This window comes from Homo sapiens, chromosome 5, assembly GCF_000001405.40.
Source record: "Homo sapiens chromosome 5, GRCh38.p14 Primary Assembly".
Classification (NCBI taxonomy): domain Eukaryota; kingdom Metazoa; phylum Chordata; class Mammalia; order Primates; family Hominidae; genus Homo; species Homo sapiens.
This window is the reverse complement of record NC_000005.10, coordinates 36,322,775-36,348,214: the sequence shown is the minus strand read 5'-3', so window position 1 is coordinate 36,348,214 and position 25,440 is coordinate 36,322,775. Positions and strand designations below refer to the sequence as shown.

Genomic DNA, 25,440 nt, shown 5'->3' with positions numbered 1-25,440 from the left:
TTAAGTGGTCAACTTGGGGAAGAGGGGAGCCAATGAAAGTATGATAAGGAGTCAGATGGAGACTTCCTTAAGGAGAATTCTACATGCCTGTCAGGGCTTTTTGGTGAGGTTGCTGTCACTGTTTATTAATTTTAGCTAATTTTATTTCAAAACACAGATTTTATTTGGGCTTTAAAATGTTTTATTCATACTACTCTAATGTTTAAAAGCCATCAGTAGGTGAAATGAAATGAAATCAAGAGGGAAGTGAAGAATAAAAGAGAAAGGAAAGAAGTTTTTCTCCAGTAAACAGGTAAGGGCTGGTTTAAAGAAAGAAAGGTAAAACACGCTTAAAGAGAATCTGCCTGGAATCAGTTTATGAGCGCTGCAGCCCAGCTTGTCTCTGTTGTGGTCCCTACCCTGTGAGATGAAAACAGTGTTACAAAAGTGAGACACCAGCTGAAGTCCCAGCAAAAGCTTGTCTGCCACTCTAGTCCTAAGGAACCTGGATCCTTCCACTCCACAAGGCTCCCTACTACGGACTGAATGCTGTGTCACCCACACCCTAACTTCATATGTTGAGGCCTAATCCCCAGGGCGATGGCATTTGGAGGTGGGGCTTTGGGGAGATATTACTTTTAAAAATTGCTAAAACCGAAATTACTTTTGCAACAACCTAATAATTACATCATGGCAGTGAGAAGACTGCCATCTGCAAGCCAGGAAGCAGGCCCTCGACAGACATTAAATCTGCCAGCACCTTGATCTTGGATTTCCCAGTCTGCAGAACTGTGATAAATAAGTGTTTGTTGTTTAAGTCACCCAGTTTATGGTGTGTGTGTTATAGCAGCTCAAATGGACTAATACAGTCCCTAGGACAGAACTGAGTACATATGAACCCCTTCCTAATGTATGGTTGATTATTTACATTACTTCACACTCATCATCTAAAGAAAGCTCCAAAGAGCAGGGACTTTGTCTGCTTACTGCTGTATCCTTAATTTTTAAAAATTGCCCAAAGATGTAGTTCTTGATGTTTTGAATAAAAGATTATATAAACAGCAAATCCAACATCTCAGGAGCTCACAGCCAGGAAGAAAGATGTTGTTTCAAGCAACGGGCAGTGAGTTCTGACAGAGACAGCTGGAAAAATATGAAAAAGACCATGCTTTTCTGGTAAGCTTTATTTTTCTTATCTCTAGTATAAACATACTTAATTTGGTAAAGAAAAACTGAATTCTAGCAACTTATAAATTATATGCCGGCATGTACAAGTCTAAAGAGCCAAAGTCATTGTAATATATGCTAAGGGCAAAGGGAAATAGTCAATAGCTTTGTTAGAATGTCTTCAGGTCTTTGAGTTTGGACAAGGTAAACCTCAATATAATAATATTTTCTGAAAAGTGAACTTCACAAAACAAATGACAAAGCAATGATTCATTCATATACTTCACATTCAGAGTTTATTTACAATTGAATATGTTGACATTACCTCTGCTAGAATGGCTTTTTAGACTTCTTTGAGAGGTCTGTGAGAAACCTGTTTAGATGAAATGAGAATTTATGCGGTCAAAAATATTTTTAAGGCCTGAAGACACCCTTGATGCAGCCCCTTTCCTTCATCACTAAAATGTATCTCTGTACTTCCTGCTTCTGGTCAACAGCCAGAGAAAGATGGGGCAAAAGGTGTTGCCCCAGCACAAGCAGAAGGCAGTCAGTAATTGAAGCTGTGTAAAATGCATGTTCTGCCTTACAGTCTTTCTTAGTTTAATATTTAGAATCCAGGGCATTACATTTTCCTGATAACAACAGCAAAATGGGCGTTTTATACAGGCTTGCAGCTAATCTTATTAAAATGAGACAAAGGCAAAATTTCCACCTATTTTTCCTGGAAAAGAAAATACCTGGAGAAACTGTACTTAAAGATGTAATGCAAAAGCATTAAATAAAACCATTTGGTCAATAAAATTTAGCAGCTAAAATTAAGGTGTGAAGACACATTTGCTGTTTTTTTTTAAGTGCAGAAAAGATTTAAATATTTTGCAAAGTGTTCTTTCCAGTAGAATTGACAATATAGACCCCCTACAAATCATAGGGCTGTTACTGTTTTGTCATACAAACTAGACATCTAAACATTGTCCTAGACTTTGTTTCTGGAATTTCTAAATTTACATCCCTTCTATTGGGAGAATTTAGCCCTGGTTCAGGCAATAATGCTTTAAACCTGAGTCCAATAGCTAGCCAGACTGGTGTCGTCCCTGCTAAGATCCACAACCATGGTGTGTACAAAGCCCCAGAAGCTTTGCCAATGATACATGGATGGACGACCTAAAAGTCTCTTGTGTCATTGAAGAACATAGGAGCAACAGGACCTCCAGACCACTTAGTCCATTAACTGAAGATTACAACTCTTGTAGAATCCCCAAGCAATGGGAGAATTTGATCTAGGCTTCTTGGTTCACAGTAATTTTTTTCTGCATTGCCTTACGGTTTTCCTTCCTAATATCTGTGATTGTCATAAAGTAATGTAGCACTATAATACGAAGTATGGGTAATGAGGCCAAATATATCCTCAGTATAGATCAACCATTCAACCCATTGATTTTTGACTTTTCAGTTATACTTTACTATCTTGAGGATTTCTTACTTTATTTTATTTTAGATTCAGAGGGTACGCATGCAGGTTTGTTTCTTAGCTGTTGTGAACACATCCTCTCCTTACCTACAGAGAGAGAGACAGCGCAACAGTGAGGGTAAAGTAGCAAATACTAGTTCAACAGGGATTTTTACCTTATTTTTGAGCTCAGGAGGCTATTTGGAAGACATAACTTACATGTTAAGAAAGTGCAATTTTAAGAATATTCTCGGCTTCTCTGCCTATGGAGTAGTCATTCTTTCATTCCTTTACTTTCTTAAAAAAAGAGAATATTCTCATTGGCTTAAGAGGATTGGGGCAAAGTATTTTTAATTTTAATTTACTTGCATTTTCTGGATGTGTTTTATATGCCATATTATGCATATGATGACTTCAGGCTTCTCTACATCTTCCACATTCCTGTAGATGAATGATGCCCTCCCCATTCCCAACTCTCAGGGATGTCCTTGATGTCTTCATGAGTGGTACACAGAAGTGCTGAGCACGTGTTTTTTATCGGTATTTGTCTACTCTTCAAAAAAGCTTTTTTTTTTTTTGCATCAGGTTATTAAGTAGCCAGTAGAATATAAGATATTATCAAATACATGTTAAGATCCAACTCATTCTATTAACATTCTGCATATCTCTTTGCAGTTGACTTGGCTAAAACTATTATTTTAGTGAGTAACTATATATTTGTTTATTCAGTTTTAACCCCAATTCTAATTGTTATTCTTCTATTTTCTTGTAGCCACAATAGTTTGAAAATTGAGGTAGAGTTTATTTGCCAAAAATTCTAGGTCTAGATTGTCTTTTCCTAGTGATTTGTTTTTTTTAAAGACTTGTTTTGCAAAATTAAAATTAATCCTAAAAAACTGGTTGTTTTCTTGTTATTAAATTTTGAGAGTTTCTTATTATATTCTTATACATTCTTTATCAAATATATGATTTGTAAATATTTTCTTCCAGTATGTAGTTTGTCTTTTTATTCTCTTAAAATCTTTTGAGGAGCAAAAGTTTTTAATTTCGAAGTTCAATGTTTCAAATTTTTCTTTTATGGTTCATGCTACCTTTCATATCTATGAAATCTTTGCCTAACACCAGGTCACAGAGGTATTTTTCTATGTTTTCATCTACAAGTTTTATAGTTTGGAGTTTAGCTTGTCAGTCTATGACCATTGATGTTAATTTTTTTATGTAGTGGAAGATATTGATCTAAGTTCATTTATTTTTGCCTATGGATATTCAAATGTCTCAGTACCATTGTTGAAAAGGCTGTCTGCAATGGATTGAATGTTTGTGTCCCTCCAAAATTCATATGTTGAACTTTTCATCCTCAGTGTGATGGTATTAAAAGGTGGTGCCTTTGGGAGGTAATTTGATCTTCAGGATGGAGCCCTCATAAATGGGATTAGCACCCTTGTAAATGGAACCTCAGAGAGCTCTCCTGTCCTCTTCTACCATGTAAGGATACATCAAGAAGACAGCAATCGGAAGCCTGGAAGAGGGCACTCAGCAGAATCCAACCATGCTGGCATCCTGATCTCAGACCTCCAGCCTCTGTAACTACAAGAAGTAACTTTTTATTCTTTATAAATCACCCAGCTTGTGCTAATTTGTTAGAGCAGACTTAACTATTCTTTCCCCCACTGAATTGCCTTTGTACCTCTATCAGCAATTAGTTGTGTATATATGTGTTGGTCTATTTCTGGGCACTTTATTCTATTCCATTGATCTGTTTGTCTGTATTAATGACAATATCTCACTGTCCTGATTTCTGTAACTTTATAATTAAAGTCTTGACACCAAGTAGTGTCAGTCCTCTATATTGTTTTTTTCTCAAAATTATTTTGGCTATTCTAAGTCCTTTGCATTTCCGTATGATTATTTATTTATTTGCTTTCCACCTTGGTTGAATGCCATCCATATGACTTTAGAATCAATTTGCCAATTTTTATTAAAATGTCTGCTGAAATTTTGATTGGGATTGTGTTGAATCTACAGATCAATTTAGAAAGAATTGCAATTGTAAAAATATTGAGTCTTTCAACTCATGAACGATAATGTATCTCTATTAATTTAGGTCTTTAATTGTTTTTAGGCAATGTTTTGCAGTTTTCAGTGTATAGGTCTTTCACGTATTTTGTCAGATTTATACAAGAAATGTATTTCCTATTTCTTGATACTATTGTAAGTGGCATTGTCTTATTTCAATTTCTAATTGTTTGTTGATACGATATAGAAATACAATTTAATTTGTGCATCAATCTTATATCATGCCACCTTGCTAAACTCATTTATTCATTCAAGTAGTTTTTTTTGTAGATGTCATTATATTTTCTACATAAAGGGCCATATCATTTGAAAAAAAATAATCTACTTCAACCTTTTCAATCTGGATAACTTTTATTCCTTTTTCTTGCCTTATTGCATTGACTAGAACATCCAGTACAATGTTGACTTGAACTGGTGAGAACAGACATCCTTTTCTTTTTTCTTATCTTGGGGAGAAATTATTTGGTCTTTCATCATCATGTGTGAGGTTAGATGTAGGTTGTTCATCGATGCTCTTTATAAGGTTGAGGAATTTCCTTCTATTTCTAATTTGTTGAGTGTTCTAAAATCACCATAAATAAAAATTGCCTTCTCTCTTGCATTGTTCCTAATATGGAATCTACTGTTATCTTTATTTTTGCTCTTCTATGTATAGCATGTGTTTTCTATCAGAGTGCTTTTAAGACTTTCCCTTTATCACAGGTTTTGAATAATTTGATTGTGCTGTGTGGGTTTGAAACTTTCATCAAACTTGAAATAATTTTAGTCATCATTTTTTCAAATATTTTCTCTGCCCCTTCCCACTCTCATCCTTCTGAGTGATTCTGATTAAACATAAATAAATCCACTTGAAGCTGTCCAATAGTACACTGATGTTTTGTTCATTTTTATAAACATCTATTTTCTCTATATATTACATTTTGGATAGTGCCTATTACTCTATCTGAAAATTCACTACTTTTTTTCTTTTCTTATGTTCAATCTTCTGTGAATCTCATCCAGTGAAGTTTTTTCATCTCAGAAACTGTAGTTCTCATCTCTTGATGTTCTATTTGTTTTTTAAAACCATCTTTTGTGTCTCTGTTTAACTTTTTTGTCTGTAAGCAATACAGTTGTAATCACTGTTTTGTCTGTTATTTCTTCCATGTATCTAGATCTGTGTTTATTTTGGTTGATTGCTTTTTTCCTATTATAGTTTATGTTTTTCTTTATCCCTAGTGATAATTGGCATGCCTGGTAATTATTAATTCGATGTAAACAATTGGGAATTTTTGTTTGTTTGTTTTTGTTTTTTTCTTTTTATTTTTAGTTCTGGAGTACATGTGCAGGATATGCAGGTTTGTTATGTAAGTAAATGTGTGCCATGGTGGTTTGCTGCACCTATAAATCCATCACCTAAGTATTAAGTCCAGCATGCATTAGCTGTTTTTCATAATGTTCTCTCTCCTCTCACCCCAACCCTCAACAGGCGCCAGTGTGTATTGTTCCCCTCCCTGTGTCCATGTGTTCTCATTGGTCAGCTCCCACTTATAAGTGAGAATATGCGGTGTTTGGTTTTCTGTTCCTGCGTTAGTTTGCTGAGGATAATGGCTTCCATCTTCATCCATGTCCCTGCAAAGGACATGATCTCATTCCTTTTTATGGCTGCATAGTATTCCACGGTGTATATGTACCACATTTTCCTTATCTAGTCTATTGTTGATGGACAGAGATATAAATAGACACTTCTCAAAAGAAGACATTCATGTAGCCAATAAACATATGAAAAAAAGCTCAACATCACTGATTATTAGAGAAATACAAATAAAAACCACAATGAGTTAACATCTCATCCCGGTCAGAATGGTGACTGGCAGATGCTGGCAAGGTTGCAGAGAAATAGGAATGCTTTTACATTGTTGGTGGGAATGGAAATTAGTTCAACCATTGTGAAAGATGGTGTGGTGATTCCTCAAAGATCTAGCACCAGAAATACCATTTGACCCAGCAATCCCATTACTCAGTATAAACGCAAAGCGATTGGGAATTTTACCTTGTTGCAAGCTTTATATCTCTGTAAATATTCTTGTGTTTTTGTATTAGTTCATTTTCATGCTGCTAATAAAGACATATCCAAGACTGAGTAATTTATAAAGGAAAGAGGTTTAATTGAGTCACAGTTCTGCAGGGGTGGGGATGCCTCAGGAAACTTACATTCATGGTGGAAGGAGAAGCAAACATATCCCTCTTCACATGGCAGCAGCAAGGAAAAGTGCCAAGCAAAAGGGGAAAAGCCCCTCATAAACCATCAGATCTCATAGAACTCACTCACAATCATGAGAAAAGCATGGGAGTAACGGCCCCCATGATTAAATTACCTCCCACTGGGTCCCTCCCATGACATGTAGGGATCATGGGAACTACAGTTCAAGATGAGATTTGGGTGGAGATACAGCCAAACCAAATCAGCTTTGTTCTGGGACACAGTTAATGTATGTGAAAATAGTTCAATCCTTTCAGGTTTTGGTTTCATGATTTATTAAATGGGACGAGAGCAGTCCTCGTATTACAGGGCTAATTATCCCCCATTACCAAGACAAGACCTTTCTGAGTATTCTACCAAATGCCTTATGAAACATGAGGTTTTCCAGTGTGATTTCTGGGTACAGGCACTATGTTGACTCTGTGTGAATGCCAGACACTGTTACCTCTGTCCTTCCAGGTGATTCTGTTCCTGGCCTCAGGTAGTTTCCTTCCATGCATGTGCTAATTATTGCTCAGCTTAAAACTCAAAGGGAGTTACAGATCTTCAGATATCTTGCCTGGTAGACATTCCAGTGACTCTTGTCACTTTATTCACTCCCAACTTTTAGCTCTATTTCTAGTCAGGGAGTCTTCCAGGCTCGACTTGGGTTCTTCCCCCCTGCACTACAGACTGGACTCTCTCTCAAAACATTAAACCGGGGTAATCACAGGACTCACCTCATTCATCTCCTGTCTTTCAGGAATCACTGTTTTTGTCTGATATCCAGTGTCCTGAAAACCATTGTTTCATATACTTCTAAAATTTATTGGTTAAGGTGAGAGGGTAAATCTGGTCTTTTTCTCTATCTTGGCTGGAAGTGTAATTTGATCATAGAATATTTATTTGGAGAATGAGAACAGGTACTGCTCATTAGAAAGAAAAAGAAAGGGAAAAAAGAGAAAAGAAAAAAGGAAGAAAGAAAGAAACAAAGAAACAAAGAAAGAAACAAAGAAAGCAAGCTTTAAACAAGAAAGGAAAAAGGAAGTAAGGAAGGTTTCAAACAACTGCTTGTTAGGAAGCAGCAAAAGGAGAAAAAAATTGTATAGTTTTTCATGAAGCTAAATTTATTTAATTTAAATTGCAATTCCTTATACTGAGATGATCTATTTGCTACTTTTTGTGTGTCAAAAAATCTTTCATTTTGTTTTTTACCTTGCACAATTAAAACTGGTAACTCTTCTAACTAAAAAGATTACTGACCTCTCAAATTCCAAAGTCTAGAAAAGAGTCGTTGAAATTCAGGGGCTTTTAAAGTCTTAAAAGCAGTCTGAGAGAAAACACATGCTATATACAGAAGAGTAAAGATAAAGATAACAAGATTCCATATCAGAAACAATGCAAGAGAGAAGGCAATTTTTTAAAAAATAGGCAGGTGAGAAATTGATTTCCGAGGTGATAAAAAACTGAGAGTGCTTTGAAAGTTGTTGTTGTTGTTGTATCTGTATTTATCATTTTATTTCCAGTGTCCAGCACATAGCTGGCACTAAATATATGGTTGTTGAGTGAATGAATGAATTTGGTGCCTAACAACATAACACCCTAGGTCTGGCAGGCCTGGGAATTTTCCAGTGCAGCTCTCCTCTTAATTGATCTCCTTTATTAAAGTGGAAACAGTGTGACTAATTGGCTTTGACACAGGCTAATTTCCCCAGGTCACTGATGTGGCTGTCACATACCCCTCAGTAAACAAGCTCTTGTGCAAGGCACCTGAGGCAGGGTCTTGGACCATGACAACACAGCTAGGGAAAGAGGAAAGAGTACAGCATTAACTGGTGAATCTGTGAATATCTGACAGCACAGACACAAAAGTGGCAAACAATTGACCAAGCAGGTATCTCCTGTGGGTTACAACACCATTTTCTCATTAGAATCACTAGGGTTGCTTTTAAGACATATAGAATCTGTACACAGAGAGATTCACACTCAATTATTCTGGGATGGGGCAAAATTGGAAATTGAAACATTTTTAAAGCTCTCAGTTATTCTATCGTGCAGCTAGAATTACAAGTCACTGCATCAAGCCAACAAATGAATAATCCCAATCCTTCTATCTTTGATGATTTCAACAATTAAAAAAGTGTCCTATTTTCTGGCATGGTGCTACCAGTAGAAGGTAGGCATTAGAAGAACCCAAATATCAGCAAACATGAAACACTTCATTTTGGTGCCCATTTTTCTTTTATAAGTTCCCACTCATGTTCTATAGCAGGAAAATACTGCAATCTGTTAAGCACTGGTTTAATGTAATATATCTGTAGTCAAATTCAAGTATTATCATTTCAATTACTATCCAGTTCAAAATTCTCTCTTCACACTGCCTTCACTCCCTGCATTCAACTGCAATTCAAACTGCATTCAACTCTTGGTGAATTTCCAGGGAAGGAATCTCATGTTTGACTTCTTGTGAAGGCAGCAGGGAGAGGGGAAGATGAGGAAGAATGAGCTGACTGGTGCAGGCAGTGGGGCAGGTGGAAGTGGAATAGCTGATTTCAGTCACCTCTCTGCTGATTCCAGCTGCCAATATCATCACCCAGTCTGGTCGATGGGTACCACCTGCTGGCTCAGTGATCCTTGGATGCCTATGGCATTTTGACATTCACTTCGGCTTCATCCAGTCTCAGGATAGTGGTCTACCGTGAGCCTCTACAGATGGGATTCCTTCATGTCCACCCAAACTTTACAAGGCATGGAGCAAATGGAGACCCCATTCCCTAAGTATATATTTTTTAGAATTATAAATCAAACTAACAAATTGCTAAATGAAATATGTCCTGTCATCCTCACTTGACACACATACCTTTATGAGGACAAATTAGAAAAATATATATAAAGCCCAGAATTAGCAAAATATCAAAGACTATTGAATTTAATTTGTATTGCATGTACCTGGGCATTCTCTTCATGGGCTGGCAATGTTTGGATGAGTAATAATTCAGAAATTAGTATGTACTTACTTGCTAGAATCAAAATTTTTTGGTCATTTCTAGCAAAGTCACTAATTGTGTTGATAAAATTAATATTTTCATATATAACTTGTATTCTTGTGTCAGCAGTGATCAAATGGATTAAAAATTAAATGTAATTATATTAAAAATATATGCAATTTGAATGCATTAAGAAAATTTAAATTGGAGTAAACAAATATAAATAAATTTACTTTTCCTACATTTCTGAATAATTAAGATTTCATGTCAAATATTCAAGATTTATTAAAATTAAAAAGCCTATTTTATAAAAAAAAAACTATTTGCAATTCTAGGATTTAATGTCCATCAAATTGCCATAGTAAAGAACAGGAATTATGCTTCAGGCATATAACTAAACCTACATATATACATATTTAAGCATAATATGAACAATACTGCTATCCTCTTCACACTCCAAAGCAGCCTCTGTAGCAGCACAGCCCATAAACCTTCAGAGTTTTGCATATAACATCTTTTATTTACAGGATCTAATGCAAGTGGAGATTTCCCTGGGGCCTGCATAATGTCAGCTGGGAGAGCAAATATTTAGAGTTTTAGGTTGGTCTGTGCCAGCTCTGAGCTCTGATCTCAGACCCAGAATGGCAGCAATGCGTGTTCTTTAGTAAATGTATTTGTTGGCAAAGGCAGGACCCTGTAAAGCATGGGGTCCAGGACAGGGGACCCTTTAGCCTGAGACTAATATTACTACTGAGTCCCTTTGCTTCCTGTGTGTCCAGGGAACGGAAGTTTGCTTAGAATTCAACCAGCCAGTCAGCCATCTTATGGGGCCTCTCGGGCCCCAAGAATCTTAGACTCCCTATTACAACCACCTTGGGTGTTTGAAGAACTGGGAGGTGATTTGTGCCCTCTCCTGACTTGTTCTGCCCCCCTTTCTGAGGCCCTCTGCCTATGTCCAAAGCTCTCTGGTGGCCTTTGCGTGGGGCTTGGCATGTGCCAATGGGTTCTGTCACTTGGCACACTCCAAACGAGAAACTGGGGCCAGTCCCTATGTTCAGATGTACCCTTGAGCTTTGCGGGATTGTCTCTAGGGATCCTCTCTATGAGGGACCATGGCAAATGATCCCCTTTCTCAAGGAGCGAGGGTGTGAATAGAATGACTCTAATATCCCAAGATGTCTTCAAGAAGTCTCCCCAGTCTTACTCCTAAATCACTTCTAAATCACCACCTTTGGCAGGTAGGAGGAGGGCAAATCACTTCTCCTGATACACTCCAGTGTTTTTGTATCCTGCCTGGTGTGGTCCTCATGGAGCCTACACATTCATATCTATGTCTATTCTGGTGACCCAGGAATGAGTTTGGAGCAAGGAGAAAAATGTAAATTGAGGTCTCAGTTATTGTCATAGTTAATAGCGTATGAACTTCTCCAGAACTTATCTTTGGTGGGAAGATGACAAGAAGCAAAAATTTCTTCCTAAAATAGCTTTGAGAAGTTGCTATAACTGGCTAGATGACTGGCTTGAATCAACAAGTAATATTTGTGATATTAGAAAATAAAACCCCACCTTTCCACAAAACCTCTGGAAGGATACTTAAAATTTTTTTTAAAATTTTCATGGGTACACAGTAGGTGTATATATTTAAAATGGAGTACATTAGAAGGATATTTTAAAATGTGATTCTTCTTTACTGCTATTTGTTTAGTTGAGAGGGTCCCTAAAAATCCCTGGGAAAAATGTTGCAATCTTGCCACTCTGAGTAATCTTCCCCAGATTTACCACTTTCATTAGTGGTGATATCTTCATTGATATCCAGAAACTAAAAGAATTGAAAGAGAAGTCTTCATAATGTAGCATTCTTCACTGAAGTACGAATTCTGTTCAGGCAAGCCAGATGTTAAAAATCTTTGCTTTTCCCAAGCATCTCTTTGGCAGGATCGAAGAAAAAATAACTGAATATAATTGTTATCACTGTGCCATTAAGATAGTGTCTGCTTTTAAAATAGGAGTTTGGGAAAATGTGCTTTTCAAATTCAACTTTGGCTTCAATATCCCGGGCTGGGGGGCCAAGAGGATGGTAGGAATTGCTGTGTGTCAAATCCTCTTTACTTTGTATTCTGTTTTGTTGTAAGGAATCGTTAGGTATGGTCCTGCATGTTGAGGGGAAAATCAACCTACTGTGTCCGATCGCGGCAAGGCTCCAAGCATCAGCTCACTGCTCTCCCAGCTCCCAAACTCTCATCAATTACCCTGCTCACTCATTTCAGCAGCACCTAGGAGCTGGAAGGTGTTAGGACAAATGGCAGAAAGAACAAAAGCACTGTAAGTGGAAAGTGTGACAGATATCTTACTTCTTATAAGCATTTTACATTAGACATTAAAATTAAAAAAAAAATCCCTGAGGACTTGTCTGGATTGTGAAGCAGCTAGATGTATCAATCCATCCCTGCAGGCTTCCTTCTTGTATCAATATAAAAAAATCTCTGCATCTCACAAGCTTCTGACTAAAAATCAAGGTCACGTGTGCATTGAATGCCTAAATTACTATGGCTTAAGTTCCCAGCAGGTTGATTTTGAAACATTATCCCCCTTCGATTGAAGTTCAGTCCAGAGTTTTGTGCCATGTCCTAGAAATTAGCTGCAATCAAGTCTATGGGGATTAGATTTAAGAATGAGGAACTCACACTTTGGCCCAAGGGCGAGTCAGTGAGTGCACATGTCAGGTTGGGTGTACTTCATCTTTTTTCTGTGAAGTAAATTGGTGCATCCAAAGATGACAGATCATCCTCCTGTCATCTTTGGATGCACCAATTTCTGAGTCCTGTCCCAAACCCTCCCCTTTCAGATAGGTAAGCACTTTTCTAACCCTTGTGATCTCTCCTCTCACCGCCATTCTCTTCCACTAGATTTTCAGCCAATGACTGTCCTCTTCGGTTTGGCTGAATTAAAATGTCTAGCCAATTTTAAGGAAGCTTCCATGTCTATGTTCACAGTTCATGAAATTTTAACAACTCACAGTGCTATCCAAAGGAAATAGAATGTGAACCAGAAATATATATCACCTATGTAATTTTACATTTTCATATAGTCACATTAAAAAACTAAGATGAAGGCTGGGTGGGGTGGTTCATGCCTGTAATCCCAGCACTTTGGGAGGCCGAGGCGGGTGGATCACCTGAGGCAGGAGTTCGAGACCAGCTGGCCAACATGGTGAAACCCCGTCTCTACTAAAAATACAAAAATTAGCCAGGTATGATGGTGCATGCTTGTAATCCAGCTACTCAGGAGGCTAAGGCAGGAGAATTGCTTGAACCCGGGAGGCGGAGGTTGCAATGAGCCAAGATTGCACCATTGTACACTCCAGCCTGGGGAACAGAGCAAGACTCTATCTTAAAAAAAAAAAGGTGAAACAGGTACAATTAATTTTGATAATATATTTTTGTTTAATCCAAATACAGCCAAAATCTTATTTCAGCATTTAGTCCAATATAAACATTATTAACAAGGATAAGTTTCCCAGGAAGATTAATCAGATAGCTAGTAGTCTGAGTTTCAGAAGGTCATGATTTTCTCTCTCATTGCTTTAAAATATTTTTAAACATTTATTAGGTTTGCTTTGAGAAGACAGAGAGAAAAAGAGTGGCAAAGAGCTCTTTCAGTCTTTATCCTTTTTTTTTTAAGTCTTTTTAAGGCATTTGGACGTTTTCTCATGATGCATTTACAAAAATTCTGGCATAAATGCCTGTCTAAATAAAAATGTCCCCTAGAAAAATGTGGACAACAGCTTTAACTGACTTGTCTCCATAAATCCTCTTGGATTCTTTCCCAAGAAACAAGGTTTACTACTGTGGTAATCTTTTCAGTGTAAGACAGCCCACAGTTTCATCTCTAAGAAATTTAAGAATGAATAATCTAGAGGCAGAGCTACTCTAAGGATATGCAAGGCCCAGGCAAATATTTGTTGTGTGGACCCTGTTTATCTAAATAATTTGAGTCACTCAAAATGAGCACGTCGGCCGGGCGCGGTGGCTCACGCCTGTAATCCCAGCACTTTGGGAGGCCGAGGCGGGCGGATCACGAGGTCAGGAGATCGAGACCACGGTGAAACCCCGTCTCTACTAAAAATACAAAAAAAAATTAGCCGGGCGCAGTGGCGGGCGCCTGTAGTCCCAGCTACTCGGGAGGCTGAGGCAGGAGAATGGCGTGAACCCGGAAGGCGGAGCTTGCAGTGAGCGGAGATGGCGCCACAGCACTCTCGCCTGGGTGACAGAACGAGACTCCGTCTCAAAAAAAAAAAAAAAAAAAAATGAGCACGTCAGCACCATTCTGTAGGCATACTCTCCCATGATCTCAGGAGAGAAACATTTTTGCCAGTGGTGGGGGCAGTCTACTGGCCAGGCTCCTGGAACCAGTCTACCCTCCTGGAACCAAGGCCCTGGGATGACCCTGTACATTTGAGTCCTCGAGCTCCTGGAGGCATCTGGTTGTGCCCCATGCAGGGTAGAGTGTTGAGGAGGGAAGAAACAGAGGTTCTACCCTGGGCTCCAGTGCCACACCCAGAAGGCCCTGCCATCCCCAGTTGGTCACAGGCACTGGAAAAGATGGGAAATTTTGAGAAAGGCACTCCCAAGTACAGGGTCCTACTTGTCTAGGTCTAAGTGACTAGTATGCTAACTGCCATGGGACCTAGTTAAATAAGTGCACATACATATGGACAAAATTTAAAAAGGAAAAAAAAAAAAGGTGCTTGGAGAAACAAAAGGAGGACTTGCAGCAGCTACACTGCAGATCCCACTTTAGAGGGAAATCTTTGGTTTTTTACTATGCTTTGTTCAACCCAATACCATTTCTCATGTGCCATGAGCTGGGTATTATACAGTACATGCTTGATGAGCAGTGGTGAATAAGTGTGCCCTCAAGATACTCTAGTGTTGTGTTTCTCAAGTCCAGGTGTCCATTAGAATCACGTTGGAGAGCTTTTAAAACACTGTTGTTCTCAAGCTCCACCCCAAACCAATTTATTCAAATTTCCTAGGGTTGGGGCCCAGACATCAGAATGTTTTAAAATTCTCCAGGTTATTTTAATGTTCAGCCAGGCTTGAGAAGTCCTGGTCTAGTGGATGACTAGTCCTGGTCTCTCTCCTGCCTCTGTTTTCCATGGCCTCTGATCTAACCCAGCAGATGCTGAATCCCTTTAAGAATTTAGACTGGCTCGGGCTACTCTCTTTGAGTCCCCTCCCTTTGTATGGGAGCTCTGTTTTCACTCTATTAAATCTTGAAACTGCACACTCTTCTGGTCTGTGTTTGTTACGGCTCGAGCTGAGTTTTTGCTCGCCATCCACCACTGCTGTTTGCCGCCATCGCAGACCCGCCGCTGACTTCCATCCTTCTGGATCCAGCAGGGTGTCCGCTGTGCTCCTGATCCAGTGAGGCACCCATTGCCGCTCCCAATCGGGCTAAAGGCCTGTCATTGTTCCTGCATGGCGAAGTGCCCGGGTTTGTCTTAATAGAGCTGAACACTAGTCACTGGGTTCCATGGTTCTCTTCTGTGATCCACGGTTTCTAATAGAGCTATAACACTCACTGCATGGCCCAAGATGCCATTCCTTGGAATCCATGAGGCCAAGAACTCCAGATCAGAGAGCACAAGGCTTTCCACCATCTTGGAAGTGGCCCACCGCCATATTGGAAGCAGCCCGCCATCATCTTGGGAGCTCTGGGAGCAAGGACCCCCCTGGTAACATTTGGTGACCCAGATGGGACCTCCAAAGCGATGGGAAGTGTTCCCCCGAAGGCAAAAACACCCCTAAGATGTATTCTGGAGAATTGGGACCAATATGACCCTCAGACGCTAAGAAAGAAACTACTTATATTCTTCTGCAGTACCGCTAGGCCACGATATCCTCTTCAAGGGGGAGAAACCTGGCCTCCTGACAGAATAAATTATAACACCATCTTACAGCTATACCTCTTTTGTAGAAAAGAAGGCAAATGGAGTGAAGTGCCGTATGTACAAACTTTCTTTTCATTAAGAGACAACTCGCAATTATGTAAAAAGTGTGATTTATGCCCTACAGAAAGCCCTCAGAGTCTACCTCCCTTCTCCGGCATCCCCCTGACTCCTTCCCCAACTAATAAGGACCCCCCTTCAACCCAAACGGTCCAAAAGGAGATAGACAAAGGGGTAAACAATGAACCAAAGAGTGCCGATATTCCCCGATTATGCCCCCTCCAAGCGGTGGGAGGAGGAGAATTCAGCCCAGCCAGAGTGCATGTGCCTTTTTCTCTCTCAGACTTGAAGCAAATTAAAATAGATCCAGGTAAATTCTCAGATAACCCTGATGGCTATACTGATATTTTACAAGGGTTAGGACAATCCTTTGATCTGACATGGAGATATAATGTTACTGCTAGATCAGACACTAACCCCAAATGAGAGAAATGCCGCCGTAACTGCAGCTTGAGAGTTTGGCGATCTCTGGTATCTCAGTCAGGTCAATGATAGGATGACAACAGAGGAAAGAAAATGATTCTTCACAGGCCAGCAGGCAGTTCCCAGTGTAGACCCTCATTGGGACACAGGATCAGAACATGGAGATTGGTGCCGCAGACATTTGCTAACTTGCATGCTAGAAGGACTAAGGAAAACTAGGAAGAAGTCTGTAAATTATTCAATGATGTCCACTATAACACAGGGAAAGGAAGAAAATCCTACTGCCTTTCTGGAGAGACTAAGGGAGGCATTGAGGAAGCATACCTCTCTGTCACCTGACTCTATTGAAGGCCAACTAATCTTAAAGGATAAGTTTATCACTCAGTCAGCTGCAGACATTAGAAAAAAGCTTCAAAAGTGTGACTTAGGCCCAGAGCAAAACTTAGAAACCCTATTGAACTTGGCAACCTCGGTTTTTTATAATAGAGATCAGGAGGAGCAGGCGGAATGGGACAAACGGGATTGAAAAAAAGTCCACTGCTTTAGTCATGGCACTCAGAGAAGTAGACTTTGGAGGCTCTGGAAAATGGAAAAGCTGGGCAAATCAAATACCTAATAGGGCTTGCTTCCAGTGCAGTCTACAAGGACACTTTAAAAAAGATTGTCCAAATAGAAATAAGCCGCCCCCTCGTCCATGCCCCTTATGCCAAGGGAATCACTGGAAGGCCCACTGCCCCAGGGGACGAAGGTCCTCTGAGTCAGAAGCTACTAACCAGATGATCCAGCAGCAGGACTGAGGGTGCCTGGGGCAAGCGCCAGCCCATGCCATCACCCTCACAGAGCCCCGGGTATGCTTGAACATTGAGTGCCAGGAGGTTAACCATCTCCTGGACACTGGCACGGCCTTCTCAGTCTTACTCTTCTGTCCCAGACAACTGTCCTCCAGATCTGTCACTATCCGAGGTGTCCTAGGAGAGCCAGTCACTAGATACTTCTCCCAGCCACTAAGTTGTGACTGGGGAACTTTACTCTTCTCACATGCTTTTCTAATTATGTCTGAAAGCCCCACTCCTTTGTTAGGGAGAGACATTCTAGCAAAAGCAGGGGCCATTATACACCTGAACATAAGAGAAGGAACACCCGTTTGTTGTCCCTTGCTTGAGGAGGAATTAATTCTTCTGAAGTCTGGGCAACAGAAGGACAATATGGATAAGCAAAGAATGCCCGTCCTGTTCAAGTTAAACTAAAAGATTCTGCCTCCTTTCCCTACCAAAGGCAGTACCCCCTTAGACCTGAGGCCAAACAAGGACTCCAAAAGATTGTTAAAGACCTAGAAGCCCAAGGCCTAGTCTTTATATGTCACAGAAAAAACAGGAATAGCTCTAGAAGTGCTTACACAGGTCCAAGGGATAAGCTTGCAACCCGTGGCATACCTGAGTAAGGAAATTGATGTAGTGGCAAAGGGTTGGCCTCATTGTTTATGGGTAGTGGCAGCAGTAGCAGTCTTAGTATCTGAAGCAGTTAAAATAATACAGGGAAGAGATCTTACTGTGTGGACATCTCATGATGTGAATGGCATATTTACTGTTAAAGGAGACTTGTGGCTGTCAGATAACCGGTTACTTAAATATCAGGCTCTATTACTTGAAGGGCCAGTGCTGCGACTGTGCACTTGTGCAACTCTTAACCCAGCCACATTTCTTCCAGACAATGAAGAAAAGATAGAACATAACTGTCAAGAAGTAATCGCTCAAACCTACGCCGCTTGAGGAGACCTTCTAGAGGTTCCCTTGACTGATCCCAACCTCAACTTGTATACTGATGGAAGTTCCTTTGTACAAAAAGGACTTTGAAAAGTGGGGTATGCAGTGGTCAGTGTTAATGAAATACTTGAAAGTAATCCCCTCACTCCAGGAACTAGCGCTCAGCTGGCAGAACTAATAGCCCTCACTCAGGCACTAGAATTAGGAGAAGGAAAAAGGGTAAATATATATACAGACTCTAAGTATGCTTACCTAGTCCTCCATGCCCACGCAGCAATATGGAGAGAAAGGGAATTCCTAACTTCCGAGGGAACACCTATCAAACATCAGGAAGCCATTAGGAGATTATTATTGGCTGTACAGAAACCTAAAGAGTTGGCAGTCTTACACTACCGGGGTCATCAGAAAGGAAAGGAAAGGGAAATAGAAGGGAACTGCCAAGCAGATATTGAAGCCAAAAGAGCCGCAAGACAAGACCCTCCATTAGAAATGCTTATAGAAGGACCCCTAGTATGGGGTAACCCCCTCCAGGAAACCAAGCCCCAGTACTCAGCAGGAGAAATAGAATGGAGAACCTGACGAGGACATAGTTTCCTACCCTCAGGATGGCTAGCAACCGAAGGAGGAAAAGTACTTTTGCCTGCAGCTAAGCAATGGAAATTACTTAAAACCCTTCACCAAACCTTTCACTTAGACATTGATAGCACCCGTCAGATGGCCAAATTATTATTTACTGGACCGGGCCTTTTCAAAACTATCAAGCAGATAGTCAGGGCCTGTGAAGTGTGCCAAGGAAATAATCCCCTGCACTGCAGGCCATACATTTCAATCCCTCTATCTTAAACCTCCTTGTTAAGTTTGTCTCTTCCAGAATCAAAGCTGTAAAACTACAAATGTTCTTCAAATGGAGCCCCAGATATAGCCCATGACTAAGATCTACCGTGGACCCTGGACCGGCCTGCTAGCCCATGCTCTGATGTTAATGACATTGAAGGCACTCCTCTCGAGGAAATCTCAACTGCACGACCCCTACTATGCCCCAATTCAGCAGGAATCAGTTAGAGCAGTCGTCGGCCAACCTCCCCAAAAGCACTTGGGTTTTCCTGTTGAAAGTGGGGACTGAGAGACAGGACTAGCTGGATTTCCTAGGCTGACTAAGAATCCCTAAGCCTAGCTGGGAAGGTGACTGCACACATTTAAACACGGGGCTTGCAACTTAGCTCACACCCAACCAATCAGGTAGTAAAGAGAGCTCACTAAATTGCTAATTAGGCAAAAACAGGAGGTAAAGAAATAGCCAATCATCTATCACCTGAGAGCACAGTGGGAGGGACAATGATCGGGATATAACCCAGGCATTCGAGCCGGCAATGGCTACCCTCTTTGGGTCCCCTCCCTTTGTGTGGGAGCTCTGTTTTCACTCTATTAAATCTTGCAACTACCAAAAAAAAAAAAAAAAGAATTTAGGCTGGCTCTGTTATTGGGCTGTTTGCTTGGTCATTTCTTTCTGTTACTGGAGGTGGACAAGGTCTCTCCTGTGCCATTAATGAAACCGTCCAAGGACTGTTCACCAGCTGACTGTGGTAGACTAAGCCTGACATCACATCAGGTCACTGAGGTAATCACTTCTTTCGTGATTCTTTTTGGCCCAGAGGCTAGAATCAGGTTGACTCCAGTCTCCATGAATCAGCTTCCCAAACCATACACAGACTTTTTTGGAACGTGATAGCTCACCTGAAACAAACATGAAACCAAATTTTTGCCATGTTCTACTAAACAATATGGGTGCCTTAATTTTCTGTCAGCCTTGGGAATTTAAGTAAATAGGACTCTTTAAAATATAAAATACCTGCCTAATTCTAAACTCGAAATGACGTTTAAAAAGTTTGTTTCAAGTGGGCTTCAAAAGAGGAAAAATATATTTTTACTTAATAGTTGTTAGACAGTTCCCACTTATGTACACAACTCTATTTCATAATTTTAATTCCTTTTCCTAAAAAGGTTTTTTTCTCATATCAAGCATGACTGATGCTCTGCAATGCAATGCACATAATATTGTTTGTTATCTTCCAGGTTTGTAATTTTCTGGGGCTGCCAAATGCTGACTAAATTATTTGTAGTAGTCAGTTCCCAGTGGGGTTTCTCCTTTTGAGTTCAGACGGGACAGCTATCTCTATGTTTTCATTGTATTTGTGTACTATCTTTTATGCTTTGTGTGATTTTAAACAGTATTTTGTCTAGAATTGTATAAATCATAAAAATGACAAAATTTTAAACATGCAGTTAGTAACCCACAAAAAGTCAGCATAAGAGAAAGCAAAAATACCTGTATTTTTGGAGGAGAAGCAATTCTTTTTATATTCTTCTCTTTCTTTTTTTCTATTTTTTTGGATGGGAAGAGTGTAGGTGGTTTCTTATGAAGCTCTTTCTCATGCAACTGGAAAGCTCACCCAGCTGAAAGGCTGGCTGTCTCTCAGTCACAAAGCTGAAAAAGTTTCCTAAGATTGAGAGAAAATGGGAATGTGACGAAAGTCAAGAAAAATAAAGTCCACTTGTTTCTTGCTTGATGTTTATGCAGGTTTTAAAAAGATGACATTAGAGCAAAATTCTACAAGGAGTTCTGGGCTTTGCTGTTGATGTAAATTTCAGCAGTTTGGCTCAGACAGGGTCTTAAGTGTGGTTTCATGAATTTGTTCTTCCAGTGAAACTCACTGACCACCTCTGTGCCAGTCTCTGCTCCACACTTAGGACTTAATGTTAAATTGGACAAGGTCCTTGCCCTCAGCGAGTCTTCCTGTCATCTTGCAGAGGTGCCTATAATCTACAGGCCTCAAATTACGTGGATGAGAAACTGTATTTTACCAGTTTTCCCTGGAATCTTCACTGTATGGAGAGTTGACTTATCCCAAACAAAATCCCAACAGACTAATTATAAATCAGAATATGTGAGAGCTGGTAGAAACCCTTTCACAACTCATTTCCTACTTACCTCCCAGGCCAATTCCACTTACCCTGATCTAGTGTCCCACTTCCATCATGGTTCCTCCCCAGATCCCTGGGGAGAATACACACACACACACACACACACACACACACACACACACATATATATGTTCTAAAATATAGATAGACAGACAGTTAGATAGATAGATAGATAGATAGATAGATAGATAGATAGATAGATATTTAAGTCAGTACTTGCTATGCATGGAAAAAGAAGCTAATATCTAAACATCCAAATGACCTGGGCCTAGCATTGAGCTAGGTGTGGTTATCTCATTTAATGTAGACTATATAACAACTATAAGGTAAGTATTTTTATGCTCATTTCATGTAATGTGGAAACAGAAGCCTGTAGATGGTAAGTTGCCCAAAGTCATAGAGCTGGCAAAGGGTGAAGCTCAGATTCCAGCAGGCTTGTCTGATTTCAGAGGCCTTCCAATTTCATGATCATAATCTCATTATTAAGATCATCTTTCCCTCTTAGGTCAGTAGCAGTTAATTCTTTCTACTTATTCCAGGTGTCAACTACTTACTTAAAGTCATCTAATTTACCTGTCCCAAACAATTTTTCAAAAAAAAAGTCAAATGCATTTCTTCCATTTGGTTTCTTAACCATGGAAACAGCAGACATTTTCCCAACTTGGGGCATAATTTCCAGGATCCAAACATACCACAAGTTGGTTATTTCGTCATGGTCCCATTGAGCAAAAAAAGGAAAAAGAAACCATAATATTTTTTCCTTTTTTCCCTTCCTCCTTCCTTGCCTCCTTTCTTCTATTCTTTCTTGTTTCATTTCCTTTCTTCCTTCTATTCCTGGTTTACTAAGCACCATGTACTAGGCAAAGTGTACTCATATCTTGGTGTAAAAAAACAAATGCAAACATATATTTATCAGGAAATAGGATATGTATAATAATAGAAATACACTCAAAATATAGTTCCAGCCTAGATGAGGATGTGATTAACTCCATTCTGGAGAACATGGAGCCAGAAAAATTTTCACAGAGAAGATGCTTGATCTAAACATTGAAGGATGAGTAAGCAAGAGAAAGGGTGGTTTAGGAAAAGAGGACAGAGTATAACAAGCTCGGGGACATCTCTGGTGGCTACAGATTCCTATATTAGTGACCACTATTACAATATCAGAAGAAGAAAGAGGATATAGAAAGGTTAGAGCTGAGCAAATATTGTATTGCTGTTGTCAAACACTGTATTGCTAATGGCAAAGTATCCAAAACCAAGTATCCTGTTGCTCTCAGCACTATTACAGTGAAAGGTGAGGCAGCAGCAGGAATGGCAGCAAGCCAGTCCATGTTGCTGGAATGGCTTTTCTTTCCTGGAAATTATGATATGAAGTACTTAATTTTTATCAGAATAATTTCTGTTTGTTATAAAAAAGTCAGTCGACATGGTGCAAATTAGAGCAAGGCTGTATTTCAGAGCACTTATTTTCTGGCAAATATTTGTTTATGTAGCTGACATTTCAAAATAAAATCTAAAAGTTACTTTTATGTCAGCATTATCACTCTTGTCATAACTTTATATTTTATGGCCAAAAAAAGTAGGTCTCTATTTGCTGTAAATCAACTTAGGTAGGCAAGCTATGAAAATTACAGTAAATGACTATACATCCAGAACATAATATATTGTATTTTCTTTAAGCCATAGTAATTTAAATTTTCTGGTAATGGTAGACTAACTTGTTCCAGACCAGTTTTTTTTACTGAGAGTAATTATGAAGTTCAACAAAATATAAGACATCTGTTGGAAGGGAATAGAGAGCTACTAAAGTAACAAGGACTTGGGAGCACAAAAATCTCAGAGAGAAGGCAAGGTCAAAGGAATGACCCCAACATTCAGTGTAGCTAAGTGGTGGACAAGAGGTTGAGAGCTGAGCAAATTCTAGGGACAGGGTCTGTAGGGATCACCTAAGAGGATCCCTTGATTTTGGCTGATACCACCAAAGGTCTTAACTCTAAAAGTAGAGTTGAACTGGAAATAGACTAACACTCACAAAGATAGTGCTCAGATCATTTCAATTCTTGGTATAAATAAATAATCTGCATACCAAGAAACAAGATGATCTGGCCAAAAAATAAAAAATAAAAAAATCCCAGGAAGAAATGGACAATGGAAACAGCCCCACATGGATCAACATGTTGCTGCTGGGAGGCAGAGCTAGACGGTGGAAGAGAAGACTCCACCAATTGTGCCTCCCTGCAACACCAATTTAACAACTATCTACACACAAAAAAGCACCTTTATAAGAACCAAAAATCAGGTGAGCACTCAATACCTGGTCTGGTTTTGGCTTCATATCACTGAAGGAGGCACTGAAGAAGTAGGACAGTCTTGAATCACCAGTGCAACCCCTCCTCCATCCCCTGGCAGTGATGGTGTGGTGCAAAGAGCATTTCTGTGCTTTGGAGAGAGGGAGAGCCAGCAATTGTGAGGCATTGAACTCAGTGTGCTTTCCTGTTATAGCAGAAAGGAAAACCGGACCGCACTCAGCTGACACCTGCCTACAGAGGGAGTATTTAAACCAGCCCTAGCCAGAGGGGAACCACTGATCCCAATGGTCAGAATTTGAGTTCCCGAGAGGCTTGCCACTGCAGGTTGAAGTGCTATGGGGCTCTAAATAAACTCAAAAGGCAGTCTAGGACACAAGCACTGTAACTCCTAGGCAAGTCCCAGTGCTGAACTGGGCCCAAAGCCAGAGGACTTGTTTGGGTGCAGAGGACATGTGACCTATTGAGACACCAGCTGGGGTAGCTAAGGGAGTGCTGGCATCAACCCTTTCCTAACCTAACCCCAGGCTTCACAGTTCATGGTCCAAAAGAGATCTCTCCCTCCCCTTTAGGAGTGGAGAGGGTAGAGTGGGAAGCGCATAGTCTTGCCTCCTGGATACCACCTCAGTCCCAGCAGGACAGGGACAGGACAGCCCTCAGAGTTGTGAGGCCCCCATTCCAAGCCCTAGTTCCTGGATGACTTTCCTAGACACACCCTTGGGCCAGAAGGGAACCTGCTGCCTTTAAGGGAAGGACCCAGTCCTGGTAACATTCATCACCTGCCAGCTAAAGAGCCTTTGGGCCCTGAATAACCAGCAGCGATACCCAGATACTACATCAAGGGCCTTGGGTGAGACTCAGACTTATTGGCTTCAGGTGAGACTTGGCACATTCCCGCCTGTGGTGGTTACAGGGCAAGACTCCTGCTTGAGAAAAGCAGAGGGAAAAGTAAAGAGGACTCTGTCATGCACCTTAGAGACCAGCTTGGTACCTAAGGTGACAGACAAGTGGGCTTTTGGGGACCCTGATTTCAGGATTTGGCCCTTGGACAGCATTTATGGACCAAGCCCCAGGGCCTTGAGGGGACACAGACAGCAGCCAGGAAGTGGTTAAAGCAGGCCTTGGGTGAGACCCAGTACTGTGCTGGCTTCAGGTCTCGCCCTGTGGTGGTGGCCATAGGGGTGCTTGTGTCACTCCACCCCCAGCTCCAGGTGGCTCAGAACAGAGAAAGACTCTGTTTGTTTGGGAGAAAGTACGGGAAGAGAATGAGAGTCTCTGCCTGGTAATCCAGACAATTCTCCCAGATCTTGTCCAAAATCATCAAGACAATAGCTGTATGAGTCTGCAGGACCACAGCATTACTAGGTTTGGAGTGCCCCCTAAAACAGATACAGTTTAGATCACAACACCCAAGTACTTTCAAATATCTAGAAAGCCCTCCCAAGAAGGATGGGTACACACAAGCCCAGACTGAAAAGACTACAATAAATACCTAACCCTTCAATGCCCAGACACAGATTAACATCTACAAGTATCAACACAATCCCAGAAATCATGACTTCATCAAGTAAACTAAATAAAGCACCAAGAACCAATCCTGGAGAAAAAGAGATATCTGACCTTTCAGACAGAGAATTCAAAATAGCTGTCTTGAGGAAACTCAAAGAAATTCAAGATAATGCAGGGAAGGAATTCCAAATTATATTAAAGAAATTTAACAAAGAGATTGAAATAATTAAAAAAGAATGAAGCAGAAGTCCTGGAGCTGAAAAATGAAACCGGCATACTGAAGAATGTATCAGAGCCTTTTAATGGCAGAATTGATCAAGAAGAAAGAATTAGCAAACTTGAAGACAGGCAATTTGAAAATACAGTCAGAGAAAACAAAAGAAAAAAGAATTAAAAAAAAATGAAGCACACCTATAGGATCTAGAAAATAGCTGCGAAAGGGCAAATCTAAGACTTATTGCCCTTAAAGCAGAGGTAGAGAAAGAGATGGGGGTAGAAAGTTTATTCAAAGGTATAATATCAGAGAACTTCCCAAACCTAGAGAAAAATATCAATATCTGAGTACAA

General features: G+C 40.1%; 1 long non-coding RNA gene across 3 annotated transcripts in view; it reads right to left on the bottom strand.

The window, feature by feature from the left end:
• The window catches only part of LOC124900962 (uncharacterized), a 109,210-nt gene that overhangs the window by 2,897 nt on the left and 80,873 nt on the right, over positions 1-25,440 (bottom strand). The window contains exons 1-3 of one of the 3 annotated variants that reach the window (XR_007058732.1): positions 23,373-24,143; positions 20,400-20,571; positions 4,089-12,157 (exon numbers count right to left, since the gene is read on the bottom strand). This is a non-coding gene — a long non-coding RNA (uncharacterized LOC124900962). Of the gene's footprint in view, positions 1-4,088; positions 12,158-16,304; positions 16,530-20,399; positions 20,572-23,372; positions 24,144-25,440 lie in introns of those variants that run through there. The other 2 variants (XR_007058733.1, XR_007058734.1) reach the window with 2 other exon arrangements.